Source organism: Homo sapiens, chromosome 18, assembly GCF_000001405.40.
Source record: "Homo sapiens chromosome 18, GRCh38.p14 Primary Assembly".
Classification (NCBI taxonomy): domain Eukaryota; kingdom Metazoa; phylum Chordata; class Mammalia; order Primates; family Hominidae; genus Homo; species Homo sapiens.
In genome coordinates, this window is record NC_000018.10 from 62149629 (window position 1) to 62165849 (window position 16221).

At 36.4% G+C, this 16221-nt stretch overlaps 1 protein-coding gene across 47 annotated transcripts in view; it reads right to left on the reverse strand.

The window, feature by feature from the left end:
* PIGN (phosphatidylinositol glycan anchor biosynthesis class N) overlaps window positions 1-16221 on the reverse strand; it is a 169442-nt gene that overhangs the window by 132014 nt on the left and 21207 nt on the right. For 15 of the 47 annotated variants that reach the window (XM_047437431.1, XM_047437440.1, XM_011525891.2 and 12 more), the window contains exons 2-7: window positions 13903-14028; window positions 12625-12701; window positions 11505-11757; window positions 8059-8180; window positions 7501-7599; window positions 4917-5023 (exon numbers count right to left, since the gene is read on the reverse strand). In XM_047437431.1, coding sequence (XP_047293387.1) covers window positions 4917-5023; window positions 7501-7599; window positions 8059-8180; window positions 11505-11725 — 549 coding nt within the window. In that variant the 5' untranslated portion in view covers window positions 11726-11757; window positions 12625-12701; window positions 13903-14028. Of the gene's footprint in view, window positions 1-4916; window positions 5024-7500; window positions 7600-8058; window positions 8181-11504; window positions 11758-12624; window positions 12885-13902; window positions 14029-16221 lie in introns of all 47 variants that reach the window. The other 32 variants (XM_047437439.1, XM_011525894.2, XM_047437456.1 and 29 more) reach the window with 4 other exon arrangements.

The following is a 16221-nucleotide window of genomic DNA, read 5'->3' on the forward strand; positions in this document are numbered from 1 at the left end:
CTTTTTGAAATAAATATAATTCAGTAGGAAAGAAGGTCCTTTTTTATTCTTCATATTTTTGACCTATAACACTAACATAAGGGCGGGAACTCCAGGATTATCTTGGGTCATGACATAACTTTGAAGATAAAACTCATGCCCTGAAGTTAGAGGAAAACTTTAGGAGACTAAGTGTCAGTGATACTGTAGAACCACTATAGCATCCTGGACTGCATCAATGCTCAGCTGCCTACTGCCAGCATTATCTTTACTAAGATAGAAGTAAACTTTTAAGTTATTTTTTTCCATATTACACAGGTATGATCTAATCTAAGTTAATATACTTATTCATGTACCAAACAATTCCCTGATAAGAGTTTGTTGCTGTTGTTGTTGTTGAGACAGTCTCTATCGCCCAGGCTGGAGTGCAGCAGCACAATCTTGGCTCACTGCAACCTCTGTCTCCTGGGTTCAAGCGATTCTCTTGCCTCAGCCTCCCAAGTAGCTGGGATTTCAGACATGCACCACCATGCTCGGCTAATTTTTTTGTATTTTTAGTAGAGAGAGGATATCACCATGTTGGCTAGGCTGGTCTCAAACTCCTGGCCTCAAGTGATTCACCCACCTCGGCCTCCCAAAGTGCTGGGATTACAGGCGTGAGCCACCGCGCCCAGCCTCTGATAGGGTTTAAAGTTAACAGTGTGAAAAAGTCAGTATCTGTGCCAACAAGACGTATATTGAAGGGGAATATGTCAATGTATGAACAGTTATAGTATAGCACAATAAAGTATTAAGGGAATATAGAGGAGGGTTATCTAAGTCGAACTGGAAATAGGGCAAAGCAAAGAGAAGTCACAGAAGACCTAATAGAGAAGAAGATGCATGAACTGAGTTTTTTAAAGTAAATAGATTCAACCCAGGCGAACCTTTGAGGCCATTATACTAAGTGAAATAAGCCAATCACAAAAAGACATAGACTGTATGATTCCAGTTATGATATAAGGTGCCTAGAGTAGTCAAATGCATAGAAATAGAAAGTAGAATGGTGGTTGCCAGGCGTTGGGGGAGGGGGAAATGAAGAGTTATTTTTTTTGTTTGTTTGTTTGTTTTTGAGACGGAGTCTCACTCTGTCGCCAGGCTGGAGTGCAATGGCGCAATCTCGGCTCACTGCAACCTCCACCTCCCGGGTTCAAGCGATTCTCCTGCCTCTCAGCCTCCTGAGTAGCTGGGACTACAGGCACGTGCCACCATGCCCGGCTAATTTTTGTATTTTTAGTAGAGACAGGGTTTCACCATGTTGGCCAGGATGGTCTCAATCTCTTGAGAACGTGATCCACCCGCCTCGGCCTCCCAAAGTGCTGGGATTACAGGTGTGAGCCACAGCGCCTGGCCGGAGTTATTGTTTAATGGGTACAGAGTTTGTTTTGCAAGATGAAATATTCTAGAGATTATTAGCTGCATAACAACATGAACATACTTAACACTACTAAATTACAGATGCTCCTCACTTGCAATGGGGTTATATCCCAATAAACCCATCCTAAATTGAAACTATTGTAGGTCAAAAATGCATGTAATATACCTGTTACAGGTAGTTAGACAGGCATGAGTGGGGCAAGGGAGGGGTCTTCCCCGACCACTAGGAATGTCGGGTGATGATTCAGCAATTATCACACTGCCTCTCTAAAAGTGGTAGATTGGCAGCTGGCACCAGGGAGAGGCCATTTCCTGATGGTCTACACTTGCTGCACTAAAGTGTTAACTGAATGCAAGCACCAGAGAGATGCAACTTCTCAGGTATGTGCATTAATAGACCAAATGGCATAGTATGCCTGTCAGGGGGCACTCCACCAGAAAAGGAAAGAAAGCCTCGGATAGGTATGTGTACAACTTTCTAAACACACTATGCATGCTCACCTCCCAAGGTTAAGGAGGGCACTGTGCATGCGGGCGCCCCACCCTAAGGGAAGAATCATGGAAAGCGGCCAGCCTATAAAGTCCTAGGATCAAGATTAAACACTGCACTTGACCTCGCTGCTCACTTGGGACTCTTCTAGGCATACTTTCCTTTCTTTCCCGTTCTAAAGTTTTTGTAAATAAACTTCCATTGCTGCCTTGGTCTCTTCTTCTGCCTTATGACCCCCAGTCGAAGTTTTTCTTCTGGGAAGGTAAGAATTGAGGTTGCTGCAGATCCTTACAGATTTGTTGCCGGTAATTCAGATACCTTGTGCCAGTAACATACCTAACCTACCAAACATCATAGCTTAGCCTGGCCTACTGTCAACGAAGAGTCACACTCTATAAAATATTTGAAGAGATTTATTCTGAGCCAAATATGAGTGGCCATGGCCCATGACACAGTGCTCAGGAGATCTTGAGAATATTTGCTCAAGGTGGTCGGGGTGCAGCCTGGTTTTATACATTTTGGGGAGACATGAGACTTCAACCAAATATATTTAAGGAATACATTGGTTTGGTCCAGAAAGGCAGGACAACTCAAAGTGGGGATTGGGGGGAAATTTAAAAATTTTCCGGTTGGCAATTGGTTGAGTTTCTCTAAAGACTTGGGATCAAAAGAAAGGAATGTCTGGGTTAAGATAAGAGATTGTGGAATCCAAAGTTCTTATTTGCAGAGGAACCCTTCAGATAGTAGGCTTCAGAGAGAATAGGTTGTAAAATGTTTCTTTTTTTTTTAATTTTATTATTATTATACTTTAAGTTTTAGGGTACATGTTTCTTATTAGACTTTAAGGTCTGTGTTGACGTTAATGCCAGAGAGGTATAATGAGGCATGTCCAACACCCACTTCCCCTTATGGCCTGAATCAGTCTCTCAGGTTACATTTTAAAAGCGCCCTGGCTGAGAAAGTCCATTGAGATAGTTGGGGGGTTGGGGGAGAGGTGCTTAGAATTTTATTTTTGGTTTACACTACCTTCAACATGCTCAGAACATTTACATTAGTCTACAGTTGGGCAAAATCATCTAACATAAAGCCTATTTTTTAATAAAGTGTTGATAATGTGAAATAAGTGAGATAATAATTACAATCTCATGTAATTTTTGAATACTATACTGAAAGTAAAAAACAAAATGGTTGTATGGATACTCAATGTCCGGTTTATACTAAATATGTATTGCTTTTGCACTGGTGGAAAGTCAAAAGAATCGTAAGTTAAACCATTGTTAAGCTGGGGACTGTCTGCAAACACTTAAAATGCTTAAGACAGTAAATTCTGTATTTTGCATATATATATATATATATTTTTTTTTTTAACCACAGTTACAAAAAAACAGGTGAGTAGAAAACTGCATGGATCTGGAAACTGTTTGGCTTGAATTAAACATGAGTCTCTAGCCAGGACATGAAGTTCGAGTAAAACCCTTACCTCACTCTCTAGCCTCTTCTGAGACCTGGCTCCCAGGCAGTCCTCCTGCCACACTAACCTCCCTTCTTTCTCACTTCCTCAAATCCATTATGCTGGCTCTTGACCAAGATTTACATAATGCTGTTGGCCTGCAATACCTTTCCATACCAATCCATCCCTATCCATTTCTTTGTCTCCTGTACCTGCTCAGAGATTATCTCAAACCTCTTAGCCTTCCCCTAACTACCCAGCACAGATTAGAATTTTCTGAAGATATATTCTTGGTCTGTATTTTTCCTTCACATCACTTACCAATGCTGATGACTTCATATTTTCATTATAACTTGGTTAATATATATCTACCATATTTTATGAAGTCATGTGCAAATCTTTTTTTCTGTTCACTACCGTGTCAAGACTAGTAGTGTTGAAATAAAGAAAGGAAGAAAGACATGAAAATCAGGCCAGCTACCAGCTATGTATGTACATTCACAAGGAATCAATTCCATGATTTTGGAGGGATTTTAGCTACACATATGAAATTAGAAGCCAAAGGATTTCATGCAGATATTAATATTAGCACATTAAGTTAAGAAGTGATGATTAGCAAAATAATTTGCTAATCATTTTCTTACACAGATTTTATTTAAGTTGAAAGTTTTCCCTGTTGACAAAAGTATATATTAAAAGTAAAAAGAAAATTTCAAGGGAAAAACCCTTGGAAAAAAATAGGGTTTAGCAATGAATTTTAGAGCACTTAATTTCTGCTAAGCAAATACAAAGAAAAAGGCAGATATATACTAAGGAGTACATTTACAAACAAACAAAAATGGCTATATCATGGAGAAGTCCACAAAGTCAGTTCAAAAGACATTACTAGAAAAAAGAAGTATCAATCAAAGCTTCTTATAATGGATGAATTATGAGTTGTTATTTGGAGATGAGGAATAATGCACTGGTAAAAGAAGAGAGCCAATGTCCACAATTGAGATTTTCACACACTTTTTGAGAATATAAATTATATCGTATTCCTCATGAAACTATGATAATTGTCATTATAAAATGTTCAAAAAACTAGTACTTAAAGGAACCATAGATTTTTATTATGATCAATTTGCTAATTTGTTTTTGCCTATATAATCTGCTTATCTAATTTTTCTTTAAAGTATTTTTTAAAAAATCATCCACTTTGTTATTATAAATGTATTACATTTGAACAGCATTTTCCCAAAGGCTTTCCTACATCTCATATGGTCCATTACTACAAGAGTCTGATTCCATGGTCAATGAAAGATCAAAATTTACCCAGGATGAATCACAAACTAGAAACGAAAAACAGGTTTCCTAAATCCTAATCTAGGGCTCATTTTACTAATAGAAACAAAGGAGTTTAAAACTTCTCTTATTTATTTAGAATGTGTAATTTTTTAGAATTAAATCTTAGAATTCAGAACAGTGTGCTACAACATAGAACTTTCAAAGCTCATGAAAACAGAAAAAACGTGGGATACAGTCTCCAATACTTCAGGTAAAAATATGCTTTTTGTATATTAACCACTCAATAGCACAAACCTTAACATTATCAAAAACCCACGTATCCAGTTTTGTTGCATCTTGAGCACCAAAATCCTCTCTTTTAGCATCATAACTATATGTATAAACGTGGTCTCCACTAGCACCTGAAAAGAAAATTTGGAAAAAATAATCTTTTTACAAAATCTTTTAAACTATCATAAAATATGAGCTAGTCATTCACAGATTTTTGTGAGTAACCAGAATTTTCACAAAGCATTGTTCATTATGATGGGGAAGAGAAAAATGGGAGGAATAATTAACATTTATTTATGTTATGTGCTATGGACCATGCTACATACTTTAATGTATTCTATTGCTTTTTGTCCTCAAAAATAACATATTTTAATTTCGCAGATTCATTATATGTTAATTAACACACCAAAATCACAACTCTAATAAGCAATATAACAAAAATAAGCACAATATTTGTCTCCCTTTAAGGATTAAACTATTCAAAACATGTGTGCCCCTTAGAATGCTACAATCTAAAATAGATGATGTGTGTTGTACAAACCTTCTTAACATAAGAAGAAAATTCAGATATTTCACTTCTCTTATTCATAAACTATGAGTATTTTTCTCAACTTCTAAGAGAATAAATATTGCTTATTGCCAAAGAGTTTGAAGGGGTCAACAGATATGACAATCTCATATATTTGCAAGAGTGTATTAAGAATCTAAACAGTTTAGTGAATTTCTGAGTTTGATAGGCTCTTGCAGGTAATAAGAAAGAGATATGGCCAGTGTGGTGGCTCACACCTGTAATCCCTGTATTTTGGGAGGCCGAGGCAGGTGGATCACCGGAGGTCGGGAGATCGAGACCCCCCTGGCCAACATGATGAAACCCCGTCTCTACTAAAAAGAGAAAAAAATTAGCTGGGTGTGGTGGTGTGCGCTTGTAATCCCAGCTACTCAGGGGGCTGAGGCAGAAGAATCGCTTGAACCAAGGAGGCAGAGGTGGCAGTGAGCTGAGATCGTGCCACTGCACTCCAGCCTGGGCAACAAGGGCAAAACTCCGTCTCAAAAAAACAAAAACAAAAAGAGAGATATATAATAAAGTAATACAATCTTTATAGCACCAGTTCAGCTCTAATGACCCTATTCCACAGCTCAGCCATTCCTCTTCCCACATCCCAAATAAAAAGGTCTGACTGGGTTTGCTGTTTACTACAAGATATGGAACATTAGACTATCTCTAATTCAATTATTTGTCCTCTCCCATCCATTGTAGCCAGAAATAGGAATGTTAGTTTGATAAGCCATAGCAACTGAATCCACCCTTACCACCACCAGCTCCCAAAAAAACGAAACTGCTTTCCAAAGAAGGCAATATATAAATGGCAAACAGTTTGGGGCTTTTTGGTCCGCCCAGTATAATAATGTTCTATGACTATCATCTGTAAAATTCTCAATATATATTTTGCTTCCTGGACACATAATAATCTTCAATAGTTCCCATTATTTTAATTACACTCATGACTAAGTATGTTACAAATCCTTTCTGATAAGTGAAATGATCAATCTTTCTGCTCCCACTTAAAAGCATTTAATGACATGAAATTCATCCAACTGATTTTAGAAAATAATATAAATGAATTTTCTAATTAAGAGATGTCCCAATATTTGCAGAATCATGCATATAAACAATAAATCTAAATGCTACATTCAGTATATTAAATATCAATTTAAATAAATTATATGTTAAATGCCATATATATCAAATGCCAGAATATATGGCATCTTCGATGTATTAAAACAGGAATTATAACTATATATTTTAACACTTAAATATTTTTTTTGAGATAGGGTGTTGCTCTGTTGCCCAGGCTGGAGTGCAGTGGCATAATCATGGCTCACTGCAGCCTCAACATCCCAGGCTCTCAAGCACTCTTCCCACCTCAGCCACCTGAGTAGTTGGGACTACAGGCACATGCCACCACACTCAGCTAATTTTTTGTTTGTTGTAGAGATGTGGGTCTCACCTTGTTGCCCAGACTGGTCTCCAACTCCTGAGCTCAAGTGATCCACCTGCCTCAGCCTCCCAAAATGCTGAGATTACAGGTGTGAGCCACTGTGCCCAGCCAATGTTTAAATCTTTATATGAGTAGCTACTAACTTTTAAAATAATTTACCAAAGTATAATGAACCACACCTCAACATCATCATTTATAATCAAGTTATGTGAAAAGTGCTATGCTAAATATTTCACATGAATTACATAATTTAATTATAAAAATAAATCTATGAGACAGAAACTAATATTATCACATTTTATGAAAAGGAAATTGAAGCTCAGAGAGGTTATATAAATTGCTCAAGATTATATAGCTGTTAAGCGATAGTGCTATATACCACTTAATTGAATCCAAAATACTATCTAACTGTATGATGTGCCAATATCTCAAGTATAACTAAGAAGGAAAAAAAAATACTGTAATTAAACATCCCTATTTCAGAAATGTTAAAAATGTAAAAATATGTGTAAAAATCAACACATACATTACATACATAAAAATAGAAAACTACCATATTGACTTACTCCCTATTTACTATCTGAGGAAACATAATCAGTGACTCTTACCTTTGGCAAACATAGGCAGGATATCTGGGCTTCCCCAGCTCCATGTGTATTTACTTTCATTAAAAAGAGAATCAAACTCTACAGGATTTTCCTTCCATCCTTCAGAAAGCAAGCAAGCAGTAATAGTTATATACACATGGTACAATAAGCCCCTAAAGAACTATTCTTCAAATAATAACAATTACATTAGTCAGTGAATAAATGCAAAACTAATAGATTTTATATTATGCATATTATACCACTATTTAAAAAAAAACTAACAATAGATAATTTACTTCTTAATGAAATATAAAATTATTTTTGAACTTTCAAGAGTAATATCTAGGAAAATTATGCTTCCATCCAACCCAAATTCTTTCAATAACACAGGATAATGAAATACTAAAGTTTCAATTCTGGAGTCAGTACCAGTGGGTATTCATGTCAGCAAAGCATGCTAAAACATTTGTCCAAAATATCTCAAAACATACCTTCACTTTGTGACATGATTAAGTGGTAAAGGACTAATATTTACTTGACAAATTTTTCATTTCATAAGATTGTCCAAATAGACAATACCTTTGGCAACTGCACTGACATCTTCATAAAACCCAGCTATCAGAGCTACATGACCTGGCCGAGATTCTGTTGGCACACGTGTATGAGATATGCCCCAGCTGCCTTCATGCATTATGATATTCCTAAAAGATATTAAAGACAAATAGTTAACACAGACTATGATTAGATACTCTCACATAAAGCTTTAGAAACATAAGATTATTACAGAAGGAATCAAAAGCAAAAAACTTAAGTCAAAACTTAAGAAGGAAAGGAATTTTTCAAATTCCAGGTGAGCCCATTCCTAGCATCTACCAGCTGAATGCAGCAGCATGAATTTGCTGATGTAAGACCAAACAAAGAACCATTCAACCACTGCACAGAATCATGAAACAAAATACATGATTGTTGTTTTAAGCCACAAAACAGAGATGGTTTGTTATCCAGAGATAAAACATATATTATTATATCAATGTTAAATTGCATTAGGTGTGATAATAGTATTGTGGTTATTTAAGAGATATAGGCTGAAGTGTTTGGGGTAAAGTTTCTTGCTTTCGAATTGTTAAGGAAAAAATAATTATAACTAGATGGACATACATGGGTACCCCTGTGGTGCAGGTGGCAGAGGGGCCAGGAGAGGGTGAACGCAATTATGAAAAAAGGTTAAAATTGTCATACTAGGTAAAGGGTATACAGATGTTCATCAAATAATCCTTTCAAATTTGTTTAGTTGAAAAATTCTTAAAAAACTAAGGGGAGGGAAAATGGCTACACTCCTAATTAGGAGTTAAATTATATCCCCAAATTTGAGATTAAAACAGGCAAAAAGATTATTTTGCTAAAAGATGTCAACATTATTTAAGTTGTATCCACAGTGATTTGCAAAATTTGGGGAAGAAAGCAAAACTACAAGTGGTGCTATTATAGGTGAAAGGCCAGCAGAGCAATAAGTTATAAAATAGTAAACTCAACAATAACATTTTTCAAGATAAATATCTGCCTCTCAATACATTCTAAAGAAAAATATTTATAACTACTGGTGTCAGTTCTTTTACTATTGACTTACCTAATAATAAAAGCAGTTTTGGTGAAATACATTCATAATAAGTAAACAGTTTCAAAACCACTGGACCAAATATTAACGAGAAATATTCTTTAACTTCTTGAGTTATATAATGAAAACTGGACTTAAACAGAAAGGGGAGGTATAAAGAAATGTGGATACTCTATTTAAAAGCATTAGTTTAGATACTGTATTTAAAAACATTAGTTTAGATCACGTTTTTATAAAACAAATTTTGGGCCAGATGCGGTGGCTCACGCCTGTAATCCCAGCACTTTGGGAAGCTGAGGCAGGTGGAGGTCAGGAGTTCGAAACCAGCCTGGTCAACATGGTGAAACCCCGTCTCTACCAAAGGTACAAAAATTAGCCGGGCGTGGTGGCACGTGCCTGTAATCCCAGCTACTCAGGAGGCTGAGGCAGGAGAATCGCTTGAACCTGGGAGGCAGATGTTGCAGTGAGCCAAGATTGCACCATTGCACTCCAGCCTGGGCGACAGAGTGAGACTCCCTCTCAAAACAAATAACAACAACAAAAAACCTTTCAAAAACAGGCTTAGAAGAAGCTAGAAGATTCCTGACATTGTAAATATACAATGGCACACAACACAAAACATCAACTGTTTGAGCCCACAGAGCTTCCGTTAGTAAGATCCAAAGGAGAAACAAGTGCCACCAGAAAAGCTTGACTTTATTTTACCAGTATATTTTTATCCTCTTAATTTTGAAATGAAGTATATTTCTCTCTTTCCTTTGGCAACTAAGAAATTCACCCAAATACTTTAATTATTTCTAGAAATTTGTTACAGATTTTTGTGTACTGTACTTAACCTTGGTTTGATCTTATTTTCCCACAATGTTCGTCTATTGACTTGAGTCTCTCTTTTCTTTATTTTTATCCTTCAATATGTTATGCATCTCTCTGAGCTATCGTAAATTTAGTTCTGAAAATTCAACACAGCATTAGAGTTCATCCATTCTTCTAGCTGTCAACAAATATTTGTTAATTGCCCATTATGTTATAGGAACTGGAGATAAAGTGGTGGATAAGTCCCCAGTCTCATGGAACTTTCATGATGGAAGTACTATAAAGAAAAATAAAACAGGCCAGGCACGGTGGCTCACGCCTGTAATCCCAGCACTTGGGAGGCTAAGGCAGGTGGATCATGAGGTCAGGAGATCAAGACCATCCTGGCTAACACGGTGAAATCCCGTCTCTACCAAAAATACAAAAAATTAGCCGGGTGTGGTGGCGGGCGCCTGTAGTCCCAGCTACTCGGGAGGCTGAGGCAGGAGAATGGCGTGAACCTGGGAGGCTGAGCTGGCAGTGAGCTGAGATCACGCCACTGCACTCCAGCCTGGGTGACAGAGCGAGACTCCGTCTCAAAAAAAAGAAAAAGAAAAAGAAAACAGAGTAAAATGATAGGAGGTAATGATGACAGATGGAGATGGGGGAAGACACAACATTTTAGATAAATTTCCTCTTGAATTCTATTTTAATCTCTCCATAACAGCATTACAAGGCCTTTCAGGAGTTGCCACTAATCAGAAAAAGAGCAATTGTTTGTAGGCCCTTTGTAAGTCCAAGAAATTAAATATTTCTTTTTAAAGCAACTTAACAGAAGCCAAAGTTATGTTAAACAGTGATATAGAAGTGAAAGGGCTCTATATTCTTTTACAGAAGGTTGTGTTTTAATTTGAAGTCTATATTTTGTACTTAAACATCATTGAAATTAGTAATTCATTAATATTTATGCTTGTCTTTATTTTGTAAAATTAGCAGACTTTTTTTTTGTTTTTTTTTTTGAGACGGAGTTTTGCTCTTGTTGCCCAAGCTGGAGTGCAATGGCACCATCTCGGCTCACTGCAACCTCTGCCTCGCAGGTTCTCCTGCCTCAGCCTCCCAGGTAGCTAGGATTACAGGCATGTGCCACCACCCCCAGCTAATTTTTTGTATTTTTAGTAGAAACGGGGTTTCTCCATGTTGGTCAGGCTGGTCTCAAACTCCTGACCTCAGGTGATCCCTGTGCCTCAGCCTCCCAAAGTGCTGGGATTACAGGCGTGAGCCACTGTGCCCAGCCAGCAGACTTATTTTTTAAGAAAAAAATAATATAGTGAGTCTTGAGCCAAGTTTGGGAAATTAGGACAATTTAGCTTAAGCAGCTAAGCCTATCCATTTCAATTCACCGGTTATCAGCTTCAACAATACCAGAAATAACACCTAGGAGGAAATAAAGTAGCATCTAGTGCTGACCCATAAGACAAAGGCAAATGTACAAGTGCCCTATTCTCTTTCTCATCATCACCCCTGTGCCCAGTGCATGATAAATAGTAAGATATTTTGCAGTTTACTTAACTCAGAATAACATTTTAAGAGATGTCTCTGTATCAGTTTACATGCTTACCTAATAAACGGTGCTCTAGAGTTTCCATTTTCATCTAATTCGTAAAGTGCATCTGCTCGAAGGCCATCAGCAACAAACAACACTAATCTTCTCGCTGGAGGAGGCAATGGTGTAAACTGAGGAGTCATTCCATGAACCAAAGGAGATGTAAAATAAATGTCAAAGATGGAGGCGAAGAACACAAAATGTATAAGCAATCCCAAAGTAAAGAACAGCAGCATATCCAGTGTAACTAATTAGTCTTCAAGAACAGCTGAAAGAGAGAACAAAATTAAATTGGGGTAAATCTTAATGCATTCATATGTATTTTCACATATTTTGATGATCACAAGTAGATGAAACATATATTTTTAATTATTATATAACTCACAACTTTACTTTCATTTGTGGTGGTAACAATAAGCACTATTTAATAATGTGACATAATACTGAAATCAAATATGTAATAAAGTACATCTAAGCAAAAAGAAAAAGTTCAAGTATAATAAGTAATTGGGACAAATAAACTATAATGAATTTAACTGCATAATAAGCTCATAAAAATTAGCACAGGACCAAAGAACAAATAAATAATTAAATCAGTCCTAAAAAGAGTTAGCGTTCAGCCAAGTCAAATCCTACAAAAAGAAAATATAAGTCGTGCAACTCTTGGTTGTACATATGACAATCATTGCCAATAACGGATTTTTAATTATTTAAATCAGTTATAATTATTTAGATGTTGCTGAATTGATTTAAATTATTCAAATATTTGTGATTTTTTTTTTCTTCTTACTTTGGTATTCTGGCTCTCTTGACTATTACCATATTGAGCAGGAAACATGTATTCTATCACATTTGGCAGAATCATATGAAGTTAAATTTCATCTGTGCTTCAGAAAATTTGTACTTATTAAAGAAACATTTTATTTTAGTTCCCTGAATCAATCAAAAAGGTTATGTTTTATCCACTCAATAAAAATGTTTTGTGCACACATCACATGCATAACTGGGTGCTGGGGTACTATAAAGAATATCGAGTTCTCTGTAAGTTCATCACAGAGCTGATGAACTTACAAATACTTAAGGAAGAAAAACGAAGCAATATGAAACATTTAAATAAAACTGTAAAAGAAGATACCATTAAATTGCCAAGATCAAACGGAACATGGGAGTACTTTCCAAGCCAGTGTGTAATTTGCTATTGTTGGTGAATCTCTGCAGATCGAGGAGAAAAAAAAAAGTATTGGAACTTGTCTTAGTTGTAATGTAACGGCATTAGCTACATATAGTGATCCTAGGCTGAAAAACACCAAGGATGAGGTAATTTTAGCTACAGACACATCTTTTTCTTCTTGGCCTGAAGAATCACATCATGGAAGGAAAGGATGGCAAAATAACCTTGCAAAAACAAATGAAACATTGGAAAAACACTCATCAAAGTCAAGCAGATTATAAAAAAGAAAACATGATAGAGCAAAAGGTCAAATTACAAGCCACTTATTTTCTGAGAACCAAGGGTCAACTAAATATCAAAGATATTCTACAAAGTACAAAAGTTCCTTAGTAAGTAGATGCTATTTTGCATCTCATAGCTAACTGACAAAGAGAATCTTTATGTGTCATATAGCATATTCCCTCCCCTCTTCTGTGCTACTACAAATCAACTTTCCATTTTCTGAGGCAGTTTAGAATAATAATCACTGTCCTTAATTTTTTTAAAAAGTAAATTTTATGTTTTTTTACTAAACAACCTAATGAACATTAAATGCTAAATTATCAATATGAATGTAAAATAATTCTGAATATATTTGTGTTATTTTCTTAAATATAATTCTCAATGTAGAATTAAAGATTCAAATATTGTGAAAAATTCTTCAAATTACCAAACCAATTTAAGATTCCATTAGAAACATGTAAATAACTGTTTACCCAAATCTGAAAGTTCTGAAAATTGACAGTAATCTTTTTAGTGCATCAGTCATATTACAGTACTTTAAATTTATATCCATTTTTATTTGCTTGCCTGCTAGCCAGTAAGGGTGTATACTGATTTCCTACTTACAGTTCTTCATGACTTGCTCTTTTGTTTTGATTATTATAGTAGATTTTAGACATTAGACCTTTTCTACTCTAGAAACAACACAGAGGTCCCAACGAAAAAAGGACTACGGTACACCTAATAATAAACCTGACCCAGTTGTATTTTCCTGTTGGAGATAACCTTTATTACGTTATTTTCAAAGCTCATATTTGCATGGTGTTCTGGTCCCCGAAGAAACCTAGATTAGTTACCTTTGTGGCACATGGTATTTTTTGTTTTCAATTTTGTTTCAAGAGCATTTTGTTGGGTCAACTACTTAAAATACCCTCAGAGAATACGAAGAAGAAATGCAAAAGTATCTATATCTAAATTTACCTTCCAGGTTTATCATCATCTGTTCAAAAAGATTTAGCTTTTAAGGAACATCTATGTTCAAAATTATAGGTCTCCAAAGGCTACAGCTCATCTCACTTTGCACAGGACTGAGACATAATACTGTTTCTAGAACATAAAACATTAAAAAAATTGTTAAAAAATTCACATAACATTTACCATTTTAGACATTTTAAAGCACAGAGTTCTGTAGTGTTAAATATATTCACAGTGTTGTACAACCAATCTCCAGAACTTTTCATCTTACAAAACTGCAATTCTATATATACGCATTAAACAACTCTCCATTCGCCCCTGTCCTAACCCTGGGGAACCACTGTTCTACTTTCTATTTCCATGGGTATAACTATTCTTGCTACTTCATACAAGTGAAATTATACAGTATTTATTCTTTTTTGATTAGCTTATTTTACTTAGCATAATGTCCTCAAGTTTCATCCATGTTGTAGCATATCAGAATTTCCTTCCTTTTTAAGACTGAAATCAGAACATTGCATGTATATACCATGTTTTGGTTATCCAGTCACTTATTCATAGACATTTGAGTTGCCTGCACCTTTTGGTGACTGTGAGTGATATTATGAACATGGGTACACAATCAGTTTTGTTTTAAAATAAACATTGGGTATTGACCAAAGGCAGTCATGTAGATCCACTTAATTACAAGAAGCTGGAAAATATGGAAAACTGAGGAAATATTTGGTAAATATCACTGTCTCTGCTGCAGACATATTTTTACACATATTTCATACTATAATATATAACATAATGTATTAGTCCATTTTCACATTGCTACGAAGAACCATCTGAAACTGGGCAATTTATGAAGAAAAGTGGTTTCACAGTTCCACAGGCTTAACAGGAAGCATGACTGCGAGGCCTCAGAAAACTTAAATCATGGTAGAAGACAAAGGAGAAGCAAGCACGCCTTACCATGGCAGAGCAAAAGAGAGAGTGAGCAAAGTGGGAAATGCCACAGACTTTCAAACACCCAGATCTCACGAGAACCCACTCACTATCAGGAGAACAGCAAGGGGGAAATCCACCCCATGATTCAATCGCCTCCCACCAGGTCCCTCCCTCAACACATGGGGATTACAATTCGAGATGGGATTTGGGTGGGGACGCAGAGCCAAACCATATCACACAGTAATACATACATTATGTTGATTATTATCACACATAATCATTATTATGTATATGTTAATACATATGTTAATTACACTGGCTGAATGTAGAGAGCAGATTGTAGTGGGTAAAGAAATGAATCAAGGAGACTATTAGAAAGCTAGTTAGTATGTAAAATAGGCCAAGAAAGAGATTATTGTTGATTAGTATAAATTAGTGCAGTGGAAGTTAACAGAAGGAAGTTGATAATCGAGTTATACTTTGGAGGGAGATAAGGAAGGTTGCTATGGTTTGTGCTTTTCCCCACGAAAAGGCATGTTGAAATTTGACCCCATTGTGGCTGTGATGGGAGGTGGAGCCTAGTGAGAGGTGTTTAGGTCACACGGTTGGATCCCACATGAATGGCTTGGTGCTATTCTCACAGCACTGAGTTCTCACTCTGGAGCAGAGGAATTAGCTCTCTGGGAATGGATTAACTCCCCTTCTCAGGAATGGGTTGTTGTAAAGTGAGGTTCCTCCTCCTGTTCGGTCCCTCTTCACACATGCTCACATCCCCTTTGTTCTTCTCTGCCATGTTATAACAAAGCACAGAAGCCCTCACCAGAAGCCAGGTCCGTGTCCTTTAACTGCCTAGCCTGTAGAACTGTGAACTAAATAAACCTCTTTTCTTTATACATTACCCAGTTTCAGGTATTCTGTTATAGCAACACAAAATAAACTAAGACCTGGGGCTTCAATAAAAGGATATGGGTAAAGAGGTAAAAAATGACTTCCAGATTTCTGGTTTGAGCATGTGAATGGTCTTTAACTTAGAGAAGGAAAAGATTTCCTTACAGGATATGGGGGGACGTAAAGCTGAGGGAGAAAGTATTGAGCATTTTCTTTTTGATACATTAAATTTAAGCTCGAGATGCCATAATAAGGCAGACAGTTGCTGTGAAACTCAAGAGAGGATATCTTAACTACAAGAATGACCTAGAGAGAGCCACTACTAGAGACAGAAAAAAATTAGCCAGTGAAGTAGAAGGAAAACCAGATGAGGGGCCCTTGAAATTAAAAGAACAGTGATTCAAGCGTGAAGGGTGTGGTTAACTGTCAGATCTGCTTAAAGGCTGGAGTAAGGACAGTAATGAGTAATCTAGGAGCTTGGAGTTCTTGTTAACTTTATTGAGA